This window comes from Homo sapiens, chromosome 5 (assembly GCF_000001405.40).
Source record: "Homo sapiens chromosome 5, GRCh38.p14 Primary Assembly".
Taxonomy (NCBI): Eukaryota; Metazoa; Chordata; class Mammalia; order Primates; family Hominidae; genus Homo; species Homo sapiens.
The window spans coordinates 154,498,029-154,509,787 of NC_000005.10; the positions used below are offsets into that span (position 1 = coordinate 154,498,029).

At 48.2% G+C, this 11,759-nt stretch overlaps 2 annotated features.

Annotated features, from left to right (window-relative positions):
- Window positions 5,421–5,500: an enhancer, noted in NCBI's record as "active region_23478". NCBI's record gives its function as "activates an Ori minimal core promoter by ATAC-STARR-seq in GM12878 lymphoblastoid cells {active_cell/tissue: GM12878}" and the evidence as "EXISTENCE:reporter gene assay evidence [ECO:0000049][PMID:35858748]".
- Window positions 5,761–5,830: an enhancer, noted in NCBI's record as "active region_23479". NCBI's record gives its function as "activates an Ori minimal core promoter by ATAC-STARR-seq in GM12878 lymphoblastoid cells {active_cell/tissue: GM12878}" and the evidence as "EXISTENCE:reporter gene assay evidence [ECO:0000049][PMID:35858748]".

An 11,759-nucleotide genomic window follows, 5' to 3' on the forward strand; every position in this document is an offset into this window, starting at 1 on the left:
TGTGATGGTGCACCTTTGACCACCAGGGTGCTCTTCCTACAACATTCACAGGTGGTGGGGCAGAGCTTTAGTGTGGTGGGCTCTTGAGGCAGACTTTGGGGACTGGAATCCTGACTCCAACCAACGGGCAACTTTAGGCAAATGATTTAACCTCTCTCTCTGCCTCAGTCATCTGTTAAATGGGTGTTTTAGATCAGAACCCACTTCACGGGCTTGAGTGAAGATTAATTGAAATAATACACATTAAAGTGTTTATAGGGCCGGGCACAGTGGCTCACGCCTGTAATCCCAGCACTTTGGGAGGCCAAGGTGGAAGGATAGCTCAAGATCAGGAGTTTTGAGACCAGCCTGGGCAACATAGCAAGACCCTGAGTCTACAAAAAATTTAAAAATTAGCCAGACATAGTGGTGCACGTCTATAGTCCCAGCTACTAGGGAGGCTGAGGTGCGAGGATTGCTTGAGCTCAGGAGGTCAAGGTTGCAGTGAGCCATGATCAGAACACTGCAATCCCAGCCTGGTGACAAAGCAAGACCATCTCTCTAAAACTAAAAATAAAAAAAAATAAAACAAAGGGCTTAAAACAGTGCCTAGCATAGTATAAACACTCATCAAACACTTGCTGTTATTATTACATCTCTCTGTCACCCTGCCCCTTCTGAGGACTTTCCTTTGCCTGCAGAGTAACGTGGGACTCCTCAGCATGGGAGCCAACCTTCTTCATCACAGCTCCTCAGACACCTTCCTGAGGGCCTTATCTGCCCTGCACACACCCTACTGTGAAAGCCAAAGAGAACAATGCCTATCCTTAACCCTGCCCTGTGCCCTCCTAAACTGTCCTTCCTTGGTTCCTTGATGGGAACATTTCCCTCTGCCCCAAAGGCATCTCCTAAATGCACTTCCAGAGGAAGGGCCAGGGCTAAAATCTACTCATGCCTGAGCCTAGACTGAGTCCCTGTGTGTGCCAGGCCCTACGTGCACCACAGTTTCCCTGTCTGTAAAATGTGGTGAAGAGACTAGACAACTCTAAGGAAACTTCCAGCTCTGGATAGTTCACTGGTTCCAGAATGAGATTCTCACTTCATTTATACACACTTTGTGACTATCCTTGGGAAGCCTAGTGTGTCATCCCCAGCACCCTGCCCCAGCTGTGAGAAACCCACAGGCCTCCCTCACAGCCTATTACATCAGAGCAACCACACTGGGAGCCATCATGTCACAGCCAGAATGAGAGAATCCAGGTTCAGGAGCCCAGGGAGCCAAAAAACCCCTTCGATCCAACCTGGAGACCTTGAATACATCATTTTCCTATGCAGACACCTCCCCTTCTCTCACCTGGGGAGTGTGACATGTGTCAAATGCACAAACCCTTTGGAGGTGGCATTATGCAGATTTAGGACTGTTGGGCCCAAGCTGGAGTCTAAGTCTCATAACTCAGTGTGACCTTGGGCTCAGGCTCACCAAATCCCAAATGGCCGGGCCTAGTTTTCCTAAGAGACCTTCAGACCTAGCACTCACTTAGGCCCCAATCTGCCAAGGTCATATATTTAAAATGTGGTTCCAAATGTCTTTCCTCAAATAGCCATTATTTGAACACAAAGAACATATAGGCTACAGTGTGAAAGAAACTTGAATTTTGCCTCCTTTTTTCTCTTTTTGCACTTCCTATGAGTCTAGTTATCCTGCCCATGTATGCAAATGTGGACAGAGTCACCAATTTCCTGGTCACTTTAGGTAATAAAAAGTCCTACAACCACTGCCAGTCACTAACTATAGTCTCAGTTCATCGCTCTGCCCAAATTATCAAACCTTCCAACTTGACTTAAAGTTGAGCCTTCTCCCTGCTAGCCCTTGACTCCCCAGCTTGCACTTTTTGCAGGTAAGTTATGAAGCCTGTCAGGGAGGGGCACACTAGGCTTCTTCCCCTGCATGCATCCTTCCCTGAAGAATCTGACAGCCTTGATCTCTGATTCTCTAGCTTCGGAGCTCTGGAGTGAGAGACGGGTTAGAGAAGCTGCTCGCCTGCAGTCCTTTTGCAAGGTGAATATATTTCTATGCTGGCTAGTGGTTTTCTCCTTCCTTAGCCCCTAGGCATCTGTCTAGCAAGACCTCCAGCTCCTTTTGGCTGTCTGCTTGCCCCTCCAGGAGTCCCTTGTGGACAAACCCTAAGATAACCCCCTGCTGGCACCCTCTCTAGCTGTCCCACATGAGTTCACAAAAAATCCAAAGATCTGGCTCTAGTAAGCTCTGGGGGTGAGCACCAGTGCAGCCACTTCACCTCTGCGCCATTGTCACAGCAGTTGACCAGCACAAAGGCTGCCCTCTAAAAGGAACAGGCAGGGTCAAATAGCAACCTGTTGTGTCCACCAAAACACAGGAGACACACCTCGAGCTTGTCTTAGGCCATTCCTGCTGCTATAACAAAATACCTGAGACTGGGTAATTTATAAAGAACAGACATTTCTTTGTCACGGTTCTGGAGGCTGGAAGTCCAAGATCAAGGTAACAGCAGGTTCAATGTCTGGTGGTGGCCTGGTCTCTGCTTCTAAGGTGGCATCTTGTTGCTGCTTCCTCCAGAGGGGACAAATACTGTGTCCTCACTTGGTGGAAGGCAGATGGGCAAAAAGCTACTAGCTAGTTCCCTCCAGACTTTTTATAAGGCACTGATCTCATACTAATCACCTCCTAAAGGCCCCACCTCATAAGACCATCACCTTGGGGCTTCAGTTCCAACATACGAATTTTGGATGGACACGTACATTTGAACCATAGCAGAGCTCTGAGTGGTCACTTTAAAGCACTGTTCTCCTTTCTTGAGATGAAGGGGGACATATTCTTCATTGCTCATTTTTGAGAGAAGGTGTAACTCACAACACATCAACTGCTACTTCAGATATTTCTCCCTTGGCTGGGCACAGTGGCTCATGCTTGTAATCCCAGCACTGGGAGGCCGAGGTGGGCAGATCACCTGAGGTCAGGAGTTCAAGACCAGCCTGACCAACATGGTGAAACCCTGTCTCTACTAAAAATACAAAAGAAAAAAAAAATTAGCCAGGCATGGTGGCATGTGCCTGTAATCCCAGCCACTCAGGAGACTGTCGCAGAAGAATCGCTTGAACCTGGGAGGCAGAGGTTGTGGTGAGCCGAGGTGGCGCCACTGCACTACAGCCTGGGTGATAGAGTGAGACTCTGTCTCAAAACAAAACAAAACAAAACAAAACAGAAACAAATATTTCTCCCTCATCCCCAACTACTTCCAACCCTTTAAAACCCACACACAATACCATAAGGGGTTGAGAGCAGCCAATCTTTGTCAGCTTTGTAAATTTTGCACCATGGTCTTGTTCTTTACTCTGGAATGTGGCATCTCTTCTATGTTGACCTCTCAGCTGGACATTTCAATTTTAATATGTTGTTACACTTATAATAATAGCCACCATTAATTTAATGTTTGCTCTACACGGGGCAGGCTCAGGGCTAATCATGTGTAGTGAATATTTGCTTTTTTTTCCAGCTCTCTGTATCCATCTCTTCCTCTTCTGCAAAGCACCCTGATTTCTTTTTAGATGATTACCTCTCCTTCATTTTGTGTGGCTGGCTGGGACACTCAGTAATGGGTAGTGTAGCAGATGGCTTTGGTGGCCTGCCCAGACACCCTTTATGCTGCAAGTGTTGGATGCTAATGGCTCACAGCTGCCCCCTTCCTTGGAGAATTGCCTGAGGTGATTTACCTGGGGCTACCTGAAAGGTTACACCGCTTCCCCTGGGAGTGGCCTGGGGTCAATGACTAACTAATGTGGAGTAAACCCAGCCCCCTTGCCTCTAGGTGGGACAAATTCACCGGTGCAATTCATACTCCCCCAGCATCAGGCTGAGAGACTAGACTCACCCTAAAACCACATCTTGACCAGCTTCTTCTTCCTTTGCCCAGTACTGCTCTGCTACCTCCTCTTCCCCTGACAGCACTCTCAACAGAATATTGCATGAGAATCCTTGTCTCAGGCTCTGCTTCCAGAGAAACTGACATAACCCAGGTGGGAATGTGACCCAAAAGAGGCCCATCTCCCAGGAAACTGCATCAAAGATAGGAGGAAAAAGAGGTTGAAACCTTACTGTTCTGGTGGTAGCTCCCAACAAGATTATTCCTTATTCCTGTTATCTTGATTCCTGGAGCATCCCTGGTTCTTTCAGTTTTTCTTGGGATTCTCTGTGTATTCCACATCTTGCTCTCTGACAATATCCCTTTTTGCTGACCTTGTAGCCAAACTGTTTCTGATGGCTGCCACCAAAGAACTGTACAAATATAGGATTTAAATGCAATATCTCAACGCTCCAATTGCCCTCCAAAAGCAACAGGTGTTATTATCCCTTCCATTTCTCAGAAGAGGAAGCTGAGCCTTAGAGAGGTTTAGTCACTTGCTTTAGGTAGCACAGCTAGTAAATGGTATTACTAGGAGTTGGGCTCTGAGCTCAGGTCTATCTAATACCAAAACTGTGCTCTTAACAACTCCAATGTGCTATCTCCAAGTGGGAAGAGCAAGCTGCTGTGGCCCACAGCTCTCTACTCCCCACTCTTTGTTAGGTTAATATGCCCATGAGCAGATCGCCATTGCTCCTGAGGCAGTGAGCCTGGAAGGCTAAGTACCTGGGCTTTAGAGTTTCGTTGGCACTCAAGCTCCATCACTTGCTAGTGGTGTCAACTGGGCAAGTTACCTAAGTTCTCTGAGCCTCAGTTTCTTAATCAGTTCAATGGAGACAATAGTGCCTAAACAGGATTGTTGAAAGGATTAAAGGAGGTCTTGAAAGTAAATTGCTTAGCTTGGTGCCCAGCATCTGGTAAGTACTCAATACATTGTAGTTGTTATTCATTATTGTTGTGTTACTTCCTGTCACACAGGGATGGCTTGGAACATATTTCAGCCAATGACATAGCCAGGGGAAGCCCATGGCAAGGACTGTCCCGTGCTCTCTGTCTTTCCTCCAGGTGGCCCACAAGAGATTCCCCACAAGGGCCTGCTTCCGCATTGTTAGGGGCAGGCCTGCAGAGGCCAGGCAGGTGCAGTAATTGACTGGAACAGGTCAAGCTGGAAGGCAGTACTAGCCACAGCCAGTTGTGGCCATTTGGAAAAGTGGACTCAGAGCTGCCAAATCCTGTGAGTTTTCAGGAAAAGCCAGGAATCTAGATTATTACATCAAACTCCCAGTTTTCAAATGTTTTAACTTAAAACACATTTTTTAATGCTGATTTGGCCAAACTAAACCCATATGTAGCTGAATGTGGTCTCAGTTTGCAACTCTGGGTTGGAGGTGCTGGTTGGCGTGGTTGCCGTGTGAAAGTGAAAGCCAACCAGGCTGGCCAATACGGCAAAACCCTATCTGTACTAAAAATACAAAAATTAGCCAGGCGTGGTGGCATGTGCCTGTGATCCCAGCCACTTGGGAGGCTGATGCAGGAAAATTGTTTGAACCCAGGAGGTGGAGTTTGCAGTGAGCCGACATGGCGCCACTGCCCTCCAGCCCAGGCAACTGAGTGAGACTCCATCTCAAAAAAAAGGAAGTGAAAGCTACCCTTCTCCCACACCACAAAATTCACCTCCAGGTCCTTAGATGGGGTTGGTTCTGGGGGGACTTCTGCCTTTGACTGCTCATGTTTTTAGATGCTCATTTAGAAAGCAGGGCCTGAGTTCATAGTGTGAGTTGAGCCCTGTGCTGCCAAGAGGATCTAAGGTGACTGAGACCTATGCCCTGCTCTTGACCAGAAGTAAGGGTTCATGGGGTGAGACTTCATGTTCACCAACAATGCAAGGAGAGGAAAGAAGGCACATGTGTGTATATGTGTGTATACGCCTATGGGCATGGGTGTGTGTGTGTGTACGTGTGCATGTGTGTTGGAGGGGGATAAATATGAATGATCTAGCTCAAAGTTCCAAACTGGAATGCTGAAGTTACTGAGTAGCTTTTATTTTCATTTCTTTCCATTTGTAGAGGCAAGAAAGAAAATCAAAATTCTTTGTTTTTTCTTTTTTTTTAGAGACAGAGTCTCACTCTGTCACCCAGGCTGGAGTACAGTGGCACGATCTCGGCTCATTGCAACCTCTGCCTCCCGGGTTGAAGCAATCCTCCCATCTCAGCCTCCCAAGTAGCTGGGACTACAGGCATGCACCACCGTGCCCGGCTAAGTTTTGTATTTTTAGTAGAGTTTTGTATTTTGGCCAGGCTGGTCTTGAACTCCTGACCTCAGGTGATCTACCGACCTCAGCCTCCCAGAGTGTTGGGATTATAGGCATGAGCCACCATGCCCAGCCCACGAAAATCAAATATTTATTTAGTCAAAAAAGAAACGAGATACAGTTTGTTTTCTCTCTAGGGTTGTCCATGATATATTGCCAAGAAAGAAAAACAAGTTGCAGAAGAGTGTACAAGCTGATTTGATTTCAGTAAAAACAGCAGCAATAACAAGGGCCAAACCGACCATACAAGAAGATGTCAATCTTGTGTGTGAGCAAGAGAAATGGTGTGGAATGATCCCCACTGGGCTGTTAACAATGGTCACTTCAGGGGTAGGGATGGGTGGGGGGTGAGATCAGAACTTGGCATGTGCACACATTTATGCTTTATTGTTTTACTTGTTTTAGTAAGCTTGCAATACTGTTGTAGTCTGGAAGTTGTACAATTAAAACAGCAATTTATTTTTATTTTTATTATTTTTTGAAACAGAGTCTCACTCTGTCACCCAAGCTGGAGTGCAGTAGCATGATCTCCACTCACTGCAACCTTGCCTACCAGGCTCAAGCGATTTTCCCACTTTAGCCTCCTGAGTAGCTGGGACTACCGGCACATGCCACCATGCCTGACTACTTTTTCAATTTGCTTTTTGTAGAGACAGAGTTTTACCATGGCTGGTCTTAAAACTCCTGGGCTCAAGCAATCTGCTCGCCCTGGCCTCTCAAAGTGTTGGGATTACAGGCATGAACCACCGCACCCGGCCTACAATTAAGACAACAATTTAAATACATATTACATGAACATCTACCAAGGCTATCATGAAAACTGTGGAGCCATCTCATTTTTCCCCACAATTATTTTTGTCAATTGCACTGCTATACATGTTCACTGTAGAAAATTAGCAAGTGCTCATAAATAAAAAAGAAAAAAAAAAGGAAAAGATATGCACTGTGAATATTTTGGTGCATATTCTTTTGACTTTCTGCTCCTAGGAACAGCTAACACTTCCTGTGAGCCAGACCCTGTGCTGAATGCTTGGGAATGGCAGGGCCAGCTCTCACTCCTCGATGTAGGTCCTGCCAAGACACACTCAGGATGTGGTAGCAGATTCATGAGCCTCTTTCTTCAGAGATTCTGGGTCAGAGGAGCTGGACGGGGCCTGGGAATCTGCATTCAGTAAGTTCCCTGGGAAATTCTGATGAGCGTACTCTTTGGACCACACTTCGAGTCAGCTAGCTGTGCGTCCAACCTACTCATTGCTGGAGCCCACAGAAAACAGCTGGAGCTCAGATTGGAGCCCACAGAAAAGAGACCTGCCCAGGGATACCCAGCCAGTGTGGCAGGGCCCGGTCCACAGACTCCCCTCTCCGCCTCGCTAAGGGCTCTCCCTGCCGTGCTCCTGCAGCTCTCCTCATGCCGACAGATGTTATTGTTTTCTTATGCCTCCAATTAAACAAAAAATCCTGTCAACGGGCGACAGGCCTAATGCACAGAGGCATTAACCAGACTTGCAACCCGACCCGGGCCTGCTCCTGTGGGTAAAGCACACTCCCTCTGCAGGCCACTGTGGCAGTCTCTCTCTGGATAAAGGGCCCTGCTGAGGCACCATCACCCTACCTGGTGCACACTGTGACCCCGGCAGATGCCTCTGGGAGCAGGACCTGGTTAGCCTGTCACCATGGCAACCCTGCTGCTGCCTTGAGACCCACTGAGGCAGCCTTTCCTAGACACCAGGTAGGTGAGAGCTGGAGACACAGAGGCCCAGAGAGGTGAAGGGTCTGCCTGAAGTTACCCATTAGGTCAGGGGCAGAACCTTCCACTAGCTTCCTTCCAGCTTCAGGCTGCTAAAGAAAGCAGGAGAAAATTGGCGACCCTGGCAGAAGGTTCCCCAGGAACAGGGTCTGCAGGATACAGAGCCACTGCTAACCTCAGAGCTGGAGTCCTGCCTGCAACCCTGCTTCTGGTCTCAGAGGCAGAGGCATTAGGGTGTGGGAGGCAGCAGCGACCTCCCCAGTCCTCCTGCTGCCTGCCTCCCAGAGTCCTGCTTGGAGCCAGGCCTCTGAGCAGGGAGGCATGGACACACATCTCAGGCCTGGGAAGCCCTCAGGGAGCAAGTTCCAACTCCTTCATTTTGCAGGTGGGGAAACTGAGGCCCTGAGAACATGACATACCCATCCAAGGTCTCACAGACTTAAACCTTGTCGTCTGAATCCTTGACAAGCGCTCTTTCCGCAAGGAAACCAGTTCCACGTGAGCACAGATTGCAGCATGGGGAACCACTTCCCCAGCATTGCCCACCCAGTCCCAGGGGCGGAGCCTGAACCCAGCCATGGTTGCTCTGCAGATGAGCAGAAAGCAGGGCTGTGGGACCCACTTAGGAGAGTGACACATTTTGGAGAGCTGCCTTCAGGCACTTGGTAGGCTGGCACTTGAGAGAGGGGAAGGCTTGTTCTGTGACGGCCATGAAGACCAAGCCAGGGCTCTCGGGGGTAAAGATTCAAGCTCCACCTGCAGAAGTCGATTCTATCATTCTGGCCAAGGAAACCTGACAGGCCCTGGACTCCTGCCTGCCCCACACTCATCTCTACACCATTCCCCCGACTCACACCTCAACTCTGCTTGCTTGGCTCCCCGACACGCCATGCGCATTCCCGCCTTGTAGCCTTTGCACTTGTAGTTCCCTCTGCCTGGAATGCTTTTTCACAGCTCCAGTCTGGCTTTTTCTTGTCATTCACATTTCAGCTGGACGTATCACCTCTTCCGAGAGGCCTTCCCAACTCACCCTAACAACGCTATCCCGTCATCAGCCTGAGTAATTCAGCTTAGGGTTTACCGCTGTCATCTTTACTTCTTATTGGCCTCTGACTACTCCTGCTTTCTAGAATGTAAGTTCCATGAGAGCAGATATCTTGTGCGTCCCTTATCCCCAGTGGCAAACAGTTCCTTCACATAGTGCTGCTGAATAAATATTCCCTAACTGGATGAATAAATGGAAGAATGAGCTGCCATGTAGGGAGATCCCTGACAAAAGTGGGATGCAAGCAGAGGCTGGATGTTTATCTGTGGGTGATGCTGTGGAGGTGGCATGCCTTAGTCATTGAGAGAAATTAAGAATCTCTGTTTTGAGGTCAAGCGCAGTGGCTTGTGCCTGTAATCCCAGCACTTTGGGAGGCCAAGGCAGGGAGATTACTTGAGGCCAGGAGTTCGAGAACAGCCTGACCAACATGGTGAAATCCCATTGTTACACGTGTCCGTATAAGAAACCACCTGAGCAGGCTTAGTGTGAGCAACAACGCTGTTTATTCACTTGGGTGCAAGTGGGCTGAGTCCGAGAAAGGAGTCAGTGAAGGCTGGTGGGATTATCATTGGTTCTTATAGGTTTGGGATAGGCGGTGGAGTTAGGACTCCTTTCTCGGACTCAGCCCACTTGCACCCAAATGAATAAACAGCCTTGTTGCTCACACTAAGCCTGCTCACGTGGTCTTTTATACGGACGTGCGTAAAATTCATCTCCACCGAAAATACAAAAATTAGCTGTGCGTGGTGACGCATGCCTGTAGTCCCAGCTACTTGGGAAGCTGAGGCAGAAGAATCACTTGAACTGGGAGATGGAGGTAGCAGTGACACGAGATTGTGCCACTGCACTCCAGCCTGGGTGACAGAGTGAGACTCTGTCTCAAAAATAAAAAATAAAAATAAATAAAAATTATACATATATATATATATCCTTTGATATTTGCTCGATGTGTGACCCAGGGTAGGTTACTATACCTCTCTGAACCTCACTTTCCCCATGTGTAAAATGAGGGCCCTAATAGTACATTCCACATAAGACAATTGTAATGATCACATGAGATGCTGTTGTAAAGAGTTTAGCCAGGGCCTGGCAGACAGTGCGTGCTCCATAGTCATTAGTAATAGTCCTTAAAGATCTATTCTGACTGTAATCCCTTCTGACTCTCAGACACATGAAGTCTTGGATGACACGTGCACTTGGCTTGAGCATCCTCAAATGCATCTCCCAAGTGCTGTATCTGCCCTCAGCCCCTTCCTGTGTTCTCCCTGTGGCCAGAGCCTCTGAGGTGGTATAACCACATTGCTTCTTTCAAGTTGCTGCAGTGTGAAAGGGGAGACAGAACATGCTTGGGCCCAATTCTCAAGGGCCCAAGGGCCCATGGGGTGCAGATGGGAGAGAATTGAATTTCTGCTAGAGTCATCAGGGAAGGCTTCTCAGAGGAGGTAGGACTTGAACTGCACCTGACAGAGCTGGCAGGATTGGGAAACAGGGAAAGGAGGAGGGAGGCACTGCAGGCAGGAAGAATGGCACGAGCAACAGCTTGGAAGAAAGGATACATGCATTCATTCATCTATTTGTTGACTGAATTCTATGAACTGAATGTGACGCCCAAAGCTCATGTGTTGCGAACTTAATCCCTAATGCAACAATGTTAGGAGTGGGGTCCCATAAGAGGTGATTAGGTGATGAAGCTTTACCCTTGTGGATGGATTAATGTCATTATTATGGGAGTGTGTTTGTGATCTATCTTGAGAGTAGGTTATAAAATTGAATTTGGCCCCTCTTGCTCTCTGGCACACATGTTCTCTTGCCCTTCCCCTTCCATCATGGGATGATGCAGCAAGAAAGTCCTCGTCAGATGCCGGCACCATGCCCTTGGCCTCCCCAGCCTGCATAAGCACTAGCCAAATAAATGTATTTTCTCTGTAAATTAGCCATTCTGTGGTATTGTGTTATAGCAACCCAAAACAGACTAAGACAGCACCTAATATACACCAGAAACTGGCTGGGCCCTGTGCTGAACAAAACCCCTATTCGACAGAGCATTTAGCCTACTGGGGGGACAGACAAGTAAACAGACAAATACAGTACAAAAAGACAAACACGGATGCACAGGGCCCCCAGGGCATAACTGAGTCCACTGGGAGTCAGGGAAAGTTTCCTGGAGAAAGCGACACTTAAACTGAGCCTGAAGGCAGAGTGGGGCAGGACAAGTGTTCCAAGCAGAGGGAACAGAGTGTGCAGATAGCAAAAGCAAGAGGGTCTCTTTTAGTTCAAAGACCTACAAGGTGTTCAGTGTGCCTGGAACTCAGTAAATGAGAGGAGCACGTGAAGATGACAGTGGAGGGGGCCAGGACACGAAGGGCCTCAACATTGGGCTGAGACGTTTTTAGCCTTTGCCCTGAGAGTAGTGGAAAGTCACTGAAGGGTTTCAAGAAGGGACTATGCCAATAGGAGCTGCATTTGCCAAAAGGTCATTCTATCTGCTGTGTGGAAAGAGGAGAAGGCCAGGTGTGGCAGAGGCAGGAGAGAGAGAGGTTAGGTCGCCTATTGCAGTCATCAAGGTGAGAGATGCAGTGGGCAGGTGTAGAAATGGGAGGAAGGCACAGAGTCTCTCAGGAGACTTTCCTTGCTGCAACTAGGCCGGCTGGGAGTGGGTGGCAAGGAATGAGAGGGAGGGGGCAGACGGATTATGAAGGAAGATGTGCTATAAAATTTTGGTTCAGAGATGCCTGAAAG